We start from the raw sequence: 18,041 nt of genomic DNA, 5'->3' as shown, positions 1-18,041 counted from the left end.
CAGCCTGTCAACGTGATAGAAAGAAAAACCTATCTTCTGAGGAGAAATTGAAGCTGGCTGCAGAAACTTGCATAAGTAATGAGGAGATGAATGTTAATCTCCAAGACAATGGGGAAAATGTCTCCAGTCTGTGTCAAGAGTTTTCACCAGAGCCCCTCCCATCACAGGCCTGGAGGCCTAGGAGAAAATGGTTTCCTGGGCCAGGCCCAGGTTCTGTTAGGCATACAGATACATAACAAGTTAGTCATGTGTGGGAATTAATAAATGAAGAAATTGTACTTGTAAATGCATCAAATGTTCACAAATCCAAGGTCAGTTTTCTTATTTTAAAAATAGAAGCAATGCCAGCTCCACAGGAATGGTTTTGAATATCAAATACTTACATGAAAGGACTTTGGAAGCTATGAAATACAACACAAATGTACAATAATAATAATAAATAACGTCACTGTAGAGAACTAGCCCTTTTCTCTACCTAAGGCTTTTTCTCAGGGGACTGGTGGAACAGAGGCTGACTTCATAGATAGAAAAATATCTAATTTCTACAAACAGGAGCTCTTTGAAAAAAAAAACAAAGCAAAGGAAACAAACCAAACAGAAACATTCAAATCCAAGAGGATAGCTCAGGGCTTTTTAATATAATTCTCATCTTGCCCTACTTCGAACAGGTTTTTAACAGAATATTGATACAACTAAAGAACAACAGAGTAAATACACATAGCATTTATACCATTTGAGGTATTTGGCTATGCTAGGTTTTTTTTTTTTTCTTTCCCTCAGTGGAACCACACATTGAGAAATATAGCTTTAGAACACAATATTCTATCAAAACCAGAAAACAGAGATTGTTTTATTTGAAAACATCAGATATGCAGTGATTCTTTCAATGTCATTTCTTTCACTTAAACCTTCAGGTTTATTAAGCCTCTGATTCTCAATTAGAATAAGTTCCCTAAGTCCCTGTCATAAATAGAATTATATCAACCTTTCACATCTCAGTCACATTGAGTTCTAATAAGTGTGCAACAATAAGACAGCTGAGTATGGAATGGCAATTGGAAAAATATTATACATTGCTTTTTGCCTATTTTAAAATTGAGTAATAAAAGGTATTTATTATTTTGCCATATAAGGTGCTGAGTTCAGGAATATTTTCATGGGAATCAAGTTTTTCCCTCAGGTGTTTGCTTAGTGTACTTCACAACTACTATTGATTCCTTTACAAAGTTGATCCATGAATATTCATTGATGGAAGAGGTCTTAGTGGTCATCTAGTGCTATCCATTTATTTTATAGATAAAGAAATCTCCTATGCTAGGTATTTTTATTTAGTTCATTTATTAGTATTACTAGTGGTAAGCAGTTATCTTATTAATCTGTTAACTTTTACTATACCTATTGAATAACAAGTTAATAGTTTTTAAAAAATTTATTTATTTTATCATATAAATTTGGAAGCACCCAGATTCCTCTACCACAACTAATTAAAATTATGGCATTTATTAGCCCTTGGTGGCAGAAAATTACAGCAAGTCTTTAATGAAATATTGAACATTAATTATAAATAATAAGTTTGCATCCTAGCAGGATGTACAGGTACCACTTAAACTATTCCAAAAACCACAAAGACAAATAATAATATTAGATACCTTAATATCACATGAAAATACCACTACCACCAATAAAAACTATGACAGTAACAGTAAAAACAAAAAAATACAAATTTTATTCAATGGTTGTTATGAACTTGGAATGATCTTAAGCACCTTACTATTTAAAACACAGAGATGGAAACATGTTTAGAAAATGAAAATTCCCTACTTTATTAGAATAACATGGTGAAATCTTAAGATTAATTAGACTGGTCAAATGTTTTTCAGTGTTTTTCCTGTCATGTCTTTATCTGTTCTTAGTGTCAAAGAGCCCACCTTACATGTTTTTTGTTTCTTTGTTTTACAAATTTAAATTGATTGAATAAGTATAGGAGAGAAGGGAATAAAAAACATTCCAATGGTGGTTTGCATATTTTCTTTCTTGTTAAAACTCAGTGTTTTACTTTTTTTTTTTTTCTGTCTTTTTTTGTATTACACTTTTGGTTTATATTGGTGATACATCTTTTTCCTCCTCTTTCTACTCTTATTTTTCCTCTTCCTCCATCTTTTCTTTTTGTGTTTCCTCCTCCTCCTCCTCTCTCTCTTCTTTTTCCTCCTCCATTTCCATTATTTCCATTTCCATTTCCTCTTTCTCTTTCTTCTCTTCCTCTTTTTCCTCCTCTTCATTCCCTGCTTCAGATTCCTCAGGGGTAAATATCATTTGTTGTTCCAACAAGATATTTGGAAACTGAGACTGTACTATCAAAACAGTTATGACACACAGGATAAAACATAATATTCTCAATAATAAAATGAATGTGCACAGTGGATCACACACAACTGGCCGGGGCATTTCCCATTTTGGATACCAAAATCGGTAATCTGTAAACAAAGAAGCAATTGAAAGCTGGATTTCATATAAAGCAGTTCAATTGTTCAAGAAATAAAGGACAACAATACATACATGTGGCTTGGTCACGATCTGCATTACCTAGAAAGAAAAAGAAAGTCCACAAAAATTACATAAAATTTCTTCTTTGTCTAAAAAATAAGATAATCTCCCAATAATAGTGTCACTTTCTCCTAGTTCTCAGGCATTATCTTTGATGTCCTCCCTCCAACCAGTGGCCAATTTTAAAGTACAATATATTCTCTTTTAGTGAAATCAGCCTGGTCTGCTACAGAAAGTATGGAAATATATGCGTAAAGAGATATGCATTCTAGTGCTAATTCTGGCTTTATGTCATTGACCTTACATACATTTCTCCACTTCTGCCTTTAAAATATTGTTCCAGCTCCAACATTCTAGGATTCTACAATATCTATTTTCATCTCCCTTTGCCCCCACAGATAACTCCTAATTAATCTTAGAAATCTATTCACTTTCCTCATTTAATTCTTATTTTCAGAAGCTTTCAGTTGCTCTTAATTTCCCAGAAGGTAAAGTTAGCTCTATAGCCTGGCATTCAATATTTTTAGTTAACTAGTCCAATGAGATAATACTAGTTTTTAGGAAATAAATTCCCTTTCTTCTGCTCATTTGGGCTGAGAGATGTATCAGTCCATTTTCATACTGCTATAAAGAACTACCTGAGACTGGGTAATTTACAAAGAAAAGAGGTTTTGCCTGTAGTCTCAGCTACTTGGGAGGCTGAGGCAGGATAATCACTTGAACCCTGGAGGCGGAGGTTGCAGTGAGCCAAGATGGTGCCATTACACTCCAGCCTGGCGACAGAGCAAGACTCTGTCTCAAAAAAAAAAAAAAAAGAAAGAAAAGAAAAGAAAAGAAAAGGTTTAATTGACTCATAGTTCTGCATAGCTGGGCAGGCCTCAGGAAATTTAAAATCATGGTGGAAGGTGAAGGGGAAACAAGGCACATCTTACATGGTGGCAGGAGGGAGAGTGAGGGGAGAACTGCCGAACACTTTTAAACCACCAGATCTTATGAGAATTCATTCATTATCATGAGAACAGCATGGGGGAAACTGTCCCCATGATCCAATCACCTCCCACCAGGTCCCTCCCTCAGCACTTGGAGATTACCATTTGAGATGAGATTTGAGTGGGAACACAGAGCCAAACCATATCATTCTGCCACAGCCCCTTCCAAATCTCATGTCCTTCTCACATTTCAAAACACAATCAGGCCTTTCCAAGGGTCCCCAAAGTCTAAACTCATTCCAGCATTCACCCAAAAGTCCAAGTTCAAAGTCTCATCTGAGACAAGACAAGTCCCTTCCATCTATAAGCTTGTAAAATCAAAAGCAAGTTAGTTACTTCTAAGATACAATGAAGGTACAGGCATTGGGTAAATGCTCCCATTCCAAATGGGAGAAATTGGCCAAAACAAAGGGGCTACAGGCCCCATGCAAGTTCAAAACCCAACAGGACAGTCATTACATCTTAAAGCTCCAAAATAATCTCCTTTGGCTCCATGTCTTACATCCAGGGCTGATGCAAGGGGTAGGCTCCCAAGGACTTGGGAAGCTCTGCCCCTGTGGCTCTGAAGGGTTCAGGCCCTGTGGCTGCTTTCACAGGCTGGCATTGAGTACCTGTGGCTTTTCCAGGCACATAGTGCAAGTTGTCATTCTGGGATCTGGAGGATGGTGGCCCTCTTCTCACAGCTCTATTATGCAGTGCCCCAGTAGGGACTCTGTGTGGTGGCCCCCACTCCACATTTCCCCTCTGCATTGCCCTAGTAGAGGTTCTCCATGAGGGCTCCACCCCTGCAGCAAACTTGTGCCTGGACATCCAGGTGTTTCCAAACATCCTCTGAAATCTACGTGAAGGCTCCCAAAGCTCAACTCTTGTCATCTATGCACCTGCAAGCCTAACACCACATGGATGCTGCCAAGGTGCTACCAAGGCTTGGGGCTTGCACCCTTTAAAGCAATGGCCTGAGCTGTACCTTGGCCCCTTTGAGCCACAGCTTAAGCTGGAATGGCTGGGAGGCAGGGAACCATGTCCCAAGGCTACACAGAGCAGCGGGGACTGGGCCTGGCCCATGAAACAATTTTTCCCTCCTAGGCCTCTGGGCCTGTGATGGGAGGGGCTGCCATGAAGATCTCTGAAATATCCTGGAGACGTTTTCCCCATTGTCTTGGTGATTAACATTTGGCTCCTTGTTACTTATGCAAATTTCTGCAGCCAGCTTGAATTTCTCCCCAGAAAAAAAAATATATATATATTTTTTCTACCACATGGTCAGGTTGCAAATTTTCCAAACTTTTATGCTCTGCTTCCCTTTTAAACGTAGGTTTTAATTTCAGATCATCTCTTTGAGAATACATAAGACTGTATGCTTTTACAAACAGCCAGGTCACATCTTGAGTGCTTTTCTGCTTAGAAATTTCTCCTGCCAGATACCCTAAATCATCTGTCTCAAGCTCAAAGTTCCACAGATTTCTAGGGCATGGGTAAAAATGCCACCAGCCTGTTTGCTAAAGCATAGCAAGAATGACCTTTATTCCAGTTCCCAACAAGTTTCCCATCTCCATCTGAGACCACCTCAGCCTGGATTTCATTGTCCATATCACTATCAGCATTTTGGTCAAAACTATTCAACAAGACTCTAGAAAGTTCCAAACTTTCCCACATCTTCCTGTCTTCTTCTGAGCCCTCCAAATGGTTCCAACCTCTGCCTGTTACCCAGTTCCAAAGTTGCTTCCACATTTTCAGGTATCTTTTCAGCAATGCCTCACTATAACTGGTACCAATTTCATGTATTAGTTGATTTTCACACTGCTAAAAAGAACTACCTGAGACTGGATAATTTACAAAGAAAGGAGGTTTAATTGACTCACAGTTCTGCATGGCTGGAGAGGCCTCAGGAAACTTCCAGTCATGACAGAGGGTGAAGGGGAAGCAAGGCACATCTTACATGGTGGCAGGAGAGGCAGGGGGCAACTGCCAAACACTTTAAACCATCAGATCTCATGAGAACTCACTATCATGAGAACAGCATGAGAGAAACTGCCCCCCTGATCTAATTACCTCCCACCAGGTCCCTCCCTCAACATGTGGGGATTACAATTCAAGATGATATTTGGGTGGGGACACAGAGCTAAACAATATGATGGTCAGATAACCAATCCTGAATTCCACTAGGAAGCATAGTAGGAGGATAAATGAGTTCTCACGTAGAGAACCCAATAGCAACAAAGAACTTTGTCTTGCAGTAATATTACTCTTAGGGGAAAATTTAGAACTCATTGTTAAGGCACCTTGGAGATGAACTGACCTTCCTTTGGATCTTTGCCGTTATTTTAGCCTTTTGCGCTTGGTCTTACTTTATATTTTATGTAATGATTTCTATATTAGATTTTCTTTTAAAAAGTCTTTTGTCATATAGTTTGTATTTTCTCATTTGGTATTTGTGTGTCTATTGATACCTTAGTATGAGCAGTTATGTAATAGTATGTTTATTCTTTGCATCTTTCTTCACTTCTCATCATTAATTTTCATTGATTATATGTTTCATTAAATAGTTACATACATTTAAACTTACTTACACCTCTATTGTTTGTCAGCTTTAAATATTCTATTTAGTATCTTTGGCCCTTAGCTATAAATGATGAGGAAACAAGCTATTTTTTCTATCTCTCTCTTCTCCTCCCAAGTTTTATTAATTGTATCATTTGTATGTTTCCAATATTTCTTGTATTTTTTTTTGTGACTATAACTCTCAGATTGTTTGAGTTTTAGTCTATCCATTAAGATTCAGGGCTCACAGAGAGTTCTTTCACTCAAGTTTTTTCATTCATCTCTTCTTTTTGGTGAATGTCATCCTTTAGTTTATTGAAGAAGTGCTCATGAGAACTATACACCAAATGTAACTGCATGCTCCCAAAACATCTGTCTATTTCATTACACTTGAATAATAGGTTTTGCTGTATATAAATTCTTGGTTGACACTTCTTATATTAAGGGTATATAGGCATCATTCCACCATCTCTTAGCATTTACTGTTATGGTAGAGAAGTTTGAAGCCAGACTGAATTTTCCCCCTTTACGTGGGAACATCAATTGCCAAAGCAGCATTACTACCACGTGAGTGTGAAGTCAATTTTGTATTGTAGAGCTGAAACCAGGAAGTACAGTTCTGTGAATTATTTTCTCTGTATAGCTTCAGGTAAGAGTTTGCCAATGACAGGAATGCAAATGAAATAGGAAAGATATAAGAAAAGCAACCACCAGGGTGATAGTAGGCCAGGTAAGATGGATCAATGTGAGTTTCACAGTGGCTTCTTAGTATAATACAATGGAGAACTATCTGCTTTGTAGCCACTTCTCTGCCTTACTGTGGCCACTTCCCTGACCTTCACTCCCTTAGTGTTTACAGTATTCAGATAAACTGTATTTCCTATGTTAAATACTTTATTGCTAAAATACTTAGAGTGACTATTTTTCTAATTCAACCCAGACTGTTAAACTTCTTAATAACTGATCTTACATTTTTGCTTGGATGCTTTAAGATTCTTTCTTTTCCACTGAAGTCCAGTAATTTACTAGTCTATGTCTACTGTGTTGACTATTTTGTGTCACTTTTTCCTGGCACATAGTGTGCACTTTCAATGTTTAAGATTCAAGTAATTTTATTTCTGTAAAATTTGTTTTATTACTTATTTAAGTATCTATATATTTCTCTCTAGTTGTATTTTCTGTTCTATTGTTTTGGTTCTGTTCTTGAGGCCCTACAATTATTCACATGTTGAAACTGAGTCCATAGTTATAGTTTTATCTGTGTATATATACACATTTATATATATGTTTATTAAAATTCTTAATTTCCAACACTTAAAATTCCAATTCACCACCATAAGATTCATGCTTACTTTTTTCCTTTACATATTTGTATTCCATTTCTGACAGTGAGAAAACTAGCCCCCATTATACTTTTAATTTATTTTTTTGATCAATCCCCCAGTATGCTTCCGATCTCCCATCATTGTCTCTAGCCCCTAGCACGCATAGGTGCCCTCCTCACTCTGCTTAGACACTGAGATTTAGCAAATAAAAATAAGTGATGTCAGGTTACATTTGAATCTCAGAAAGCAATAAATATTGTTTTAGTATAAGTTTGTCCAATGTAATATTTGGAATATGTTTATGCTGAAAAATTGTCTTGTATTAATTGGCCAACTTAGGGGCTGGCCCTGTGCTGGGACACCCTCCCACCGTGCTCAGACTTTGAAACCCAGCTCTGGGCTTCTGCATGTGTGGATTCCTTCCTTACCCCACTTGGGCCCTGACTTCACCCATGTCAAGTCATCTTCCCCACATTAAAACTTTCCTCACCTAATTTGCACTCAGACACCTCATGTGTGATTGCCCCTAAGTATGGATGCCCCCTTTACTGGCTTAGGTTCTGAAATCTCTTCTCAGCCCACTCCAACATGGACTCTTCTCCTTATTCTTCTTGGCCTCCAACAACCACTGCAGGACCATCCCCCCAGGGATGCCTTCCTCACTGGCTCAGACTCTCCCTTCCATCCCATGTTGATGCTCTCCTCACCTTGCCTGGGCACAGATGCTACATACTGAGTCATCCCTGCATGGACATCTTTTTATTCTGCTCTGGCTCTGATACCCCAAACCTCATGTATGGACAGTTACTTCATTCCATGAGGTCTCTGACTTCCCACACATGGCCACATCTCTATGTGGACAGCATCCTCACCTTGCTTAGGTTTCCTTTCCGTGCCCACTGCATCTCGTGTGGATCCTTTGTTATGCTGTTTAGGCTCTAACATATCACCTTTGGATGCCCCTCTGTGTAGATGACTACATTCCCCTGACCTGTCCAATGACTTTAGCATTGAATTTCTCAGAAAAAGAAAGACAAGGAAGAGAGGAAGAGCAAGAGTTTGCATCTTGATTCAAGTGAAGCAAGAGCAGAAATGTTAGGGTGGATTCATCCCTGTAATGGTGTTATAGTAAAACTGTCCACTAGTTTTTGTTTCTGTTTTTTCTTCAGCACAAAAACATAATATATTTGGGAGGCTGAGGTAGGAGAATCACTTGAGGCCAGGAGTTTGAGACCAGCCTGGGCAACACAACAAGATCCTGTCTCTGCAAAAAATAAAAAAAAAAATTAGCTGGGCATGGTGGCACCTGTCCGTAGTATTAGCTACTTGGGAGGCTGAGGCAGGAGGATCACCTGAGCCCAGGAATTCGACGTTACAGTGAGCTATGATCATGCCACTGCATTCCAGCCTGTGTGACAGAGCAAGACCCTGTCTCTTTTCCAGAATCTACAAAGAACTTAAACAAATCTACAAGAGAAAAACAAACAACCCCATCGAAAAGTGGGCAAAGGACATGAACAGACACTTCTCAAAAGAAGACATTTATGCATCCAACAAACAAGAAAAAAAGTTCATCATCACTGGTCATTAGAGAAATGCAAATCAAAACCACAATGAGATACCATCTCATGCCAGTTAGAACAGTGATCATTAAAAAGTCAGGAACCAACAGATGCTGGAGAGGATGTGGAGAAATAGGAACACTTTTACACTGTAGGTGGGAGTGTAAACTAGTTCAACCATTGTGGAAGACAGTGTGGGGATTCCTCAAGGATCTTGAACCAAAAATACTATTTGGCCCAGTAATCCCATTACTGGGTACATACCCAAAGAATTATAAATCATTCTACCATAAAGACACCTGCAAACATATGTTTATTGCAGCACTGTTCACAATAGCAAATACTTGGAACCAACCCAAATGCCCATCAATGATAGACTGGATAAAGAAAGTGTGGCACATATACACCATGGAATACTATGCAGCCATAAAAAAGGATGAGTTCATTTCCTTTTCAGGGACATGGATGAAGCTGCAAACCATCATTCTCAGCAAACTATCACAAGAACAGAAAACCAAACACTGCATGTTCTCACTCATAAGTGGGAGTTGAACAATGAGAACACATGGACACAGGGAGAAGAACATCACACACTGGGGCCTGTCAGGGGGTCAGGGCTAGGGGAGGAATAGCTTAGGAGAAATATCTAATGTAGATGATGGGTTCATGGGTGCAGCAAACCACCATGGCATGTATATACCTATGTAACAAACCTGCACGTTCTGCACAGGTACCCCAGAACTTAAAGTATAATAATTAAAAAACAACATAATATGCTATTTACTTATTATCCAAATTTATCTCCTACCATATTCCTCTAAGCATTGTATATTTTAGCTACAGTTATACTTTTGGAGTATATTCTCTCATGTTTGGAAAAACTAAAAGAAAAATGTAATCAAACATATTTTCTACTTTTTACTTTTGAAATATTTGGAGATTTCAGCTTTTTGGAGGAAAAACTAAAAGAAAAGGGTATTAAATATATGCTACTTCATAAATATTTTGGAATATACTATCCTTTAAAGCAGTTATTATCAAACAGGCTGCTGTTTGGGCATAAACTGTGAAGCTTTTTAAGGGTATAACTGTTAGTTCTCATTCTTTCTTTCTGACACTCTGGTATGTCCTCAGGGGAAGGAATAGGGTTAAGATAGAACAGAAAAAGCTCTGCAGTTTAGAAAAATCTAAAGATGATACTGTGTCAACCATCCTTTGATAACATAATAGTAGCATTCTGATCAAAGGAATAATATTAACATGACCATAAAAAACTAGTGTTCAATCGCTTATTTTTCTTGTCCAATCCATTATGCATTTTTTTCATGTTTATTTTCTTTATCTTACTGCATAGAAAATCTGTGCATTTGTCACGTCTGCCACATCGAGTACAAAATATTCCTGGTTCATAAGGTCTTCTCGTCAGTGTTCCTCTACAAACAAAAAAGCAGAAAACATTTAGTTAGAATAAGCTTCCATTTTTACATGTAATTTAAATAATATAGTTACTAATTTTTAATCAGGTTAAAAAGGCGGGTTAAGAAACTGGACTTAAGGAAATACTTTAATTAGAGATTCAATGTTTCCCTTTTGTTCTCCCCTAGGAAACGGTCTTTTCTGAAACGAATTCCCATGCCCTAGAAACAAAGTATTATAATTAAATATAAGAATCGGTTTTAAAGCTTCTTTCATTTTAGTTTATAGCAAAATGTATCCTTTAAAAATGAATGATGTAGACCGGGCGCGGTGGCTCATGCCCGTAATCCCAGCACTTTGGGAGGCTGAGGCAGGCAGATCACAATGTCAGGAGATCGAGACCATCCTGGCTAACACGGTGAAACCCTGTCTCTACCAAAAATACAAAAAATTAGCCAGGTGCGGTGGCAGGTGCCTGTAGTCCCAGCTACTCGGGAGGCTGAGGCAGGAGAATGGCGTGAACCCAGGAGGCGGAGCTTGCAGTAAGCTGAGATGGGCCACTGCACTCCAGCCTGGGCAACAGAGTGAGACTCTGTCTCAAAAAAAAAAAAAAAAGAATGATGTAGGCTGGGTGGGGTAGCTTCCCCACCTGTAATGCTGGTGCTTTGGGAGGCCAAGGTGGGATAATCTCTTGAGACCAGGAGTTCGAGACCAGCCTGGGTAACATAGCAAGACCTCGTCTCTTCAAAAAGATATATTTTTTTAATTAGCCGGGCATGGTGCGTGCCTGTAGTCCCAGCTACTCGGGATACTGAGGAGGGAGGATCAGTTGAGTCCAGGAGTTTGAGGCTGCAGTGAGCTGACTGTGCCACTGCACTCTAGCCTGGGCAACAGAGCAAGGCTCTGTCTCTAAAATAAATAAAGAAATAAAGAAATAAAATTTAAAAATAAATGATATAGAATTTTTTATAATTAATTGCTTCCTGGTTGGCCCAAATACATAAAAAGTTTCATAGAAATGATATATTAAGTATCTGTAGAGTTTACAAAATTCTGAAATGCTTGTGTCCCAAAGACTCATCTGCATCAATTATTTTGGGGGTATATATAAAAACACATAAATTTATAAAGAAGCAAATAAATATAAATGGGAGTTTACAAAGTTGATTTAACCCATTGTACAGAGCTAAAGAGAGAAGAAATAATTACATCAATTGCCTACAGCTAAATGAGAAAAAAGGCCCTAAAGTACTTTTAAATTGGGAAATTTAAATAAATGATCTAGGATAAGAAAGGTAGAAAAAACAAGTAGGGAAAAGATACATTTGAGTGGGGGCAGCATCATTAATCCTGGTAATTTAATCAGTATTGCCTATTTACCTGGTATATAATTGGGAGCTATAAAAACAAACATTCATTATTTAAGTCCTTGGTTAGGCCTTCTAGAAGAATGGCCAAGCCTAAGAAATATATATTCAAAAACCTGAGTATCACATTTCTCAGATATATCTTATTTAATCAGAGAGTTTGGGTGATACCCAATAAGGCATCTGATACCCTTGAATTGTAAGCATTCAAGTCTATCAGGAACATCCAGAGGTTTGTGGTTATTTGTAGATCATATATCACTTCTTCAATTTCACTGTTCTATTATCCAACTATTTCAAGAAAGAAATGCATTTTGTTTAGAACCCAGCCAGAGCAGAAACTCAAGAGTTGATCTAGTCACCTTTAGCTACACCCTGGTCTATTTTTCCTGTCCCAACCCCTTTTCACCAAAACAGATGCCTCCAACACAAAAGCAGATGTATTGTCTCCTAAGGTCCCAAGGATGGGGGACCTCTGTCCTTATACCTAAGTAAAAAGCTACTCACTATAAAAACTGCCTTTGAGAACTAGAGCATAGTCCCATCACCCCAAGATCATAATGTCTGATATCTGTAGTGTGGAAAAACTGTGGGAAGGCAAATAAACAAATATAATAATGCATACATACATACATAAAACTGAAAATAAATAAATCCACACTGTGGTAGACTACAATGAGTCCCCTCTTTCAAAGATTTGAGTTTTATAATCATTATTTCTATTAGACAGCCAGAAATGTCAGGCTAATACCCTCCCCTATGTTAATCTTCCTCTAGTTCTGAGTTTCTAAGAAAGTGAACCTAAATTAACTTGAGTCTGAATCCACAACACAACTCCCAACTTCAATTGGAATTATTGGGCCAGATTAGGAGGAAATAATAGGTAACTATCTATAAGCAGCAAAGTCCACTGAAATTTCACAGCTGCCCTGGCAGTGCCTTAGAAAATTTGCATTTTCTAAGAAGCAGACCAGTGGTTCACCAAGACCAAGTCAAGACTCTTGAACATAGTCTTCTAGAACTTTTCTTAGCCTCTATCTGGCCATAGCCTCAGTACAATGCTACCTATAGAGCATGTGTCCAGATCCTAGATAAGGACATGTTACCTGGGCGGCCTAACAGAGAAGTGTACCCATTTCCAACCCCAAGTTCATTAGAAGGCCATTATTCAAACTTTGATATAGATACACAGTCTTTCAAAATGAGAGCACAATTCTGGTGGTTGTAGAAACTTTCTTTGCCTACACTAGACTCGTATCTGCCACCATCTTGTTCATCAAGGAGGTAATCCAGCCCATAGCTTGACAACCTAGCAATTACAATTTGTAGGCAGATTCTTCAAAGTTCTCCATCCAGACTCACATAGTCTGTACATTATTCACAGAACAAGAGCCAAAGCACATGAAACAGATGTCGATTTTTCCATCTCATACAGCCAGAACAACTAGACTACTTACAACTCGTTTCATTTTTCACTACTTCTTATGTATCACAACACTGACTTCTAGTTTGTTTCTGGAAGATCTATGGGTTTTCCAAGAAGACTTACTTTTTTCCAAGAAGAATCTATTCCAATAAGTTTAAGAGAAATACAGTGTAGGCAGCAGCAAGGAAGATAAACTATAATAGAGATCCCATCTGGCTGTCTTTCTGCAACATCTAATATATTTGTCTTTGCCAAAAATTCCATGACTACTTCCTGGGCCTATTCAAGGTCAACGAAAGTATGAACTCTGTTGTTTTTCTGTCTCAAATTATCCCTGTATGTGCAAAGCTATTTTATTTATATCACTTTCTGTAAAACTTTGTTGGCTGGGTCTCCTCCCTTCACTTAACATATCCTGCACCTAAAGGACTGTGGAACACAGTTAAACAGTTAAAACAGTTAAACAGTTAAAGCTCCTTTAAGGTTGATATTATTTAGCTGTGCCATCCTCTAATCCTCCTTGAGAGAGATATTTACCTTCAGATCATGCCTCCTTATTCACTGAAGACTTTGGCACCTGAAACATCATTTTTAGTCAATCGTTTTTCATTTTCTCAGAAGTTGGTACCTATTTGATCACAACATTCATATGGATAATTCATCCAATAACTTGGGTTTTCCATTACTAGATGTCTTTACTACCAAAATGCTTCCCAATTCTCCATAGTTGTCACTTTTATAGCTACATTCTGGATCCTGTTACCTCTTAAAACAGCTCCACCTCTGAACTCACAAAATCAGACATTTCACTCACTGGCTATAACCTCCTATCCTCCTTCCAGGGTGCTAACTTATTTACTCCTGCCACACTGCTTCATTAATTTCACTGAGGTGTCATGTCTATTTTCTCTCCTATTTTCTCCCTATCCATTCTATTGTCTCTTCTTTTATTCATTTAATTTTTAAAATTATACTTTAAATTCTCGGGTACATGTGCAGAACATGCAGGTTTGTTACATAGGTATACATGTGCCATGGTTGTTTGCTGCACCCATCAACCCACCATCTACATTAGGTATTTCTCCTAATGCTATCCCTCCCCTCGCACCCCACCCCGACAGGCCCCAGTGTGTGATGTTCCCCTCCCTGTGTCCATGTGTTCTCATTGTTCAACTCCCACTTATGAGTGAGAACATGTGGTGTTTGGTTTTCTGTTCTTGTGTTAGTTTGCTGAGAATGATGGTTTCCAGCTTCATCCATGTCCCTGCAAAGGACATGAATAAAAGAGGACACAAACAAATGGGAAAACATTCCAAACTCATGGATAGGGAGAAACAATATCATGAAAATGGCCATACTGCCCAAAGCAATTTATAGATTCAATGCTATCCCCATCAAGCTACTACTGACTTTCTTCACAGAACTGGAAAAAACTACTTTAAATTTCATATGGAACTAAAAAGAGCCCGAATAGCCAAGACAATCCTAAGCAAAAAGAACAAAGCTGGAGGCATCACGTTACCCGACTTCAAACTATTACTACAATGGGACAGAACAGAGGCCTCAGGAATAACGCCACATATCTACAACCATCTGATATTTGAAAAACCTGACATAAACAAGCAATGGGGAAAGGATTCTCTATTTAATAAATAATTTTTTCTATACTCAGATTCATACATGTGTTCCTTTATAGTTTCTGGACTTTAATGTTCTGATAGGTAAGTCCTTATACCTTCCAAATTGTAAGTAAATTCACTAATATAGCTTTCATGACTTCACTTTTTAATGTTTAAGTCTTTTATGTATTAGAAATTTAATCCTCTAAGATGAGTGAAAAACTCAGTTTTACTTTTATCCAGCCAGTAGGCTCTCCTAATTCCATTACTTAAATACTTTAACCAGTGATTTTAAACGCCAACTTTATCACAATCATTACATATGGATTTGGATCTACTTATTGACCCTCATCTATATAACACAATAAGCGGAAATATTTATAAATTACATTACATAAAATGTAATGTGCAATGTCTTTGGCACACTTACAACAAAATTATATTTAACTAAATGAAAGGTCTTGTAGTCAACTGCAGATCCAACATGCCTAAAAATAAAAGTTATTTTCCCTCCACTCTATATATTTTCCTAGGTCAGTTAATAACATTACCTATCAATGAAGCATAAATTCTTATGGTCATCCTTGTGTCCTTTCTAATATTTAAGTTTTAGAGTAATCGAATTAATATTGTTTTATTTTACTTTTTAAAATTGTACTTAAAATGTGTGAGTTTTTATCTTTGAAAATGAAAAATAAGGACTAGTAAATAATTATATGTAATATAGTTTCAGTTTTTTTCTGATACATTATAAAGTATTCTAATCTTTATACAGATATCTTTGTAGATTAGGAACATTTTCTTTTCTTTATTATTTCTCTTTCCTTGGCTCTTCTCTATTCTTTAGAAACACCAATTTGTAGATTTATATGCCATACATATTTCCTTTATTTTTTCATATATATTTTGACCTCTATTCTTCACCTTTGTGTTTCTGAGAAAAATTTTCAAGGTTGCTTTGACTTGTTATTTTCAGTATGCATGGCCAAGTCTGTTTTATTCTTCCATTCTGCATTAATTTTCTGTAACTATATTAACAAATTACCACAAATTCGGTGGCTAAAACAACATTAATTTATTCTCTCACTGTTCTGGAGGCCCAAAGTCCAAAATCAAGGTGTTGGCAGGGCTGTGTTCCCTTCAAAGGCTCTTAAGAATCTGTTCCTTGATTTTTCCAGCTTCTGGTGGCCTTAGCTCCTTGGCTTGTGGATGCATCACTGTAGCTGCTTCTGCTGTGGTCACACTGCCTCCTCTTCTGTGTGTCTTATGCTGAATCCTCCTCTCCATCTCTTACAAGTATACATGTGATTGCATTTAGCCCTCACCCAAATAATCTAGAATAAGCTCCTCTCAAGATCCTTATATTAACCACATCTTTGCCATATTAGGTAATATTCACACTTTTGCCATTTAAGTAATATTGACAGGTTCTGGAAATTAGGACCTAAACATAACGTTGGTAGGGGGGGCACCATTCATCCCACTATACCTTTTAATTTTCAATTTTGTTATTTTACATTCATTTCTACCCAGTATTTTATAATATTGTAATGGATTGATTTTTCTACCAACTATCCTTAAGAGAGATAATGTGATTGCCTATTTTAGGTACATAATCAAATAAGAATTGGACTGAGTTGACTGATAACTGTTCCAATCTAGATCCTTCAAGGTAGACTTGCCAATATTTGTATCAAAGGAAAAATGGTTAACAAATTTCAAGACAAAGAAGCTTGTGCAATAAGAGAGTAGCAAGAAAAAAAGGGTAATTTCAACAACTGGTAGCTTCATCTTATCACTGTAGTCATCTGAGACCCCTGTACTCACTATTCTTATTAAGGTCACCAAATACCTTCATCTCATCTAATGGAACTGTCAGTTCTCCTTCCTCAATTTCTCATTCTCTCAGCAGCGTCTCATAGAGTTAACCAGTTTGGGCTTCTTAGCTCATGTTCTTCACTTGACTTCCAAGTACCTTACCAGCAGGTTTTTGGTTTCCCTCATACCTCATTAACCTCTCTTCATTCTCCTTTACTAGCTCTTTTGCCTTAGTTTAAAATAGCGTAGTGCCCCAGGACTTAGTTCTTAAATTGTCTCCATATTCACTCTCCCACATGCTGATCTAATTCACTGTGACTTCCACTTCAGGGCCTTTATACCAGAAGCTTCGTCTACTTAGAAAACAACCACATACTTTCATATGGCTATCTGCTTCTCATGATTCATTCACATTTCCTACATTTATTTTTCTATCTAATATACCCAAATAGAAAACATATCTTTTGATCTTCTCTAAGTTAATGAAATCACCATCCACCCAGTTTTTTAGACTAAACACATAGGCATAGTGTTGCTTGATTATTTTATTCAATTTATCCCTAAACTCAAGCCAATCGGCTTGTATTATTAGCTCCACCTTCATAATATACCCAGAAACTGACCTTTCCTCACCATTTCCATTCTATGGTAGGCAGAATTCTAAGATGAATCACAAGATCCTCCACTCCTCAGGTACATGCCATGCATAATTCTCAGGAGAGTGAATATGATGAATTTTACTTCCATAATTATATTATAAGGCACCACTGACCTTAAAATATTGACATTATCTAGGTTGGCCTTGACTCATCCTATGGGTGTTTTAAAAGCAGAGAGTTTTCTTTAGCTGGTCACAGAAGAGGAGACAGAGATTTGAAACATGAAAATGCTCTGACATACCTTGGCTGACTTGAAGATGGTGGGGCCATGTGTCAAAGAAACATGGGCAGCTCCAGAAGAAGAGACAACACATGGCTCAGAGCCAGCAAGAAAACAAGGACAAGAGTCCCATCACCATACAGAGCTAAATTCTGCTCACAGCCTGAATGAGCTTGGAAGCAGGTACTTCGCCAATCCTCCAAGTGAATACTTAGTCAACATCTGGATTTTGGCCTTTGAGACCCTGGGAAGACAATCCTGCCACAATATGCCTGGGTTCATGACCTATAGAACTGTTTGATAATAAATGTTGCTGCTTTAAATCACTACATTTGTGGTAATTCATTATCCAACTTGATAAACAATCCACATGCTAAAACCCTAATCCAAAATATCAGTCTGTAGCCTGTACTACAGGCAACAGCCTCCTAATTGTACTTCCTCTTTACACTCGTTTCCTTATATTTCATTCTCTACCAACAGCCACAGTAATCTTTTTGTTAAGGTGTTCTTTTCAAAACAAAAATGAGATCATGTCACTCTGTGCTTAAGACC

At 37.6% G+C, this 18,041-nt stretch overlaps 1 protein-coding gene across 5 annotated transcripts in view; it reads right to left on the bottom strand.

Annotated features, from left to right (window-relative positions):
* Positions 1-609: 609 nt before the first annotated feature.
* The window catches only part of GLIPR1L2 (GLIPR1 like 2), a 41,600-nt gene continuing 24,168 nt past the window's right edge, over positions 610-18,041 (bottom strand). For 4 of the 5 annotated variants that reach the window (NR_072995.2, NM_001270396.2, XM_011537949.2 and 1 more), the window contains 3 exons: positions 10,309-10,394; positions 2,557-2,583; positions 610-2,474 (listed from right to left, as the gene is read on the bottom strand). Coding sequence is in view for 4 of the 5 variants with exons in the window: in NM_001270396.2 (NP_001257325.1) it covers positions 2,137-2,474; positions 2,557-2,583; positions 10,309-10,394 (451 nt within the window). In the remaining variant the exon portion in view is untranslated. Of the gene's footprint in view, positions 2,475-2,556; positions 2,584-9,257; positions 10,395-18,041 lie in introns of those variants that run through there. The other variant, NM_152436.3, reaches the window with a different exon arrangement.

Source organism: Homo sapiens, chromosome 12 (assembly GCF_000001405.40).
Source record: "Homo sapiens chromosome 12, GRCh38.p14 Primary Assembly".
Classification (NCBI taxonomy): domain Eukaryota; kingdom Metazoa; phylum Chordata; class Mammalia; order Primates; family Hominidae; genus Homo; species Homo sapiens.
The sequence above is the reverse complement of the archived record's forward strand: the minus strand, read 5'-3'. Positions and strand labels throughout refer to the sequence as shown.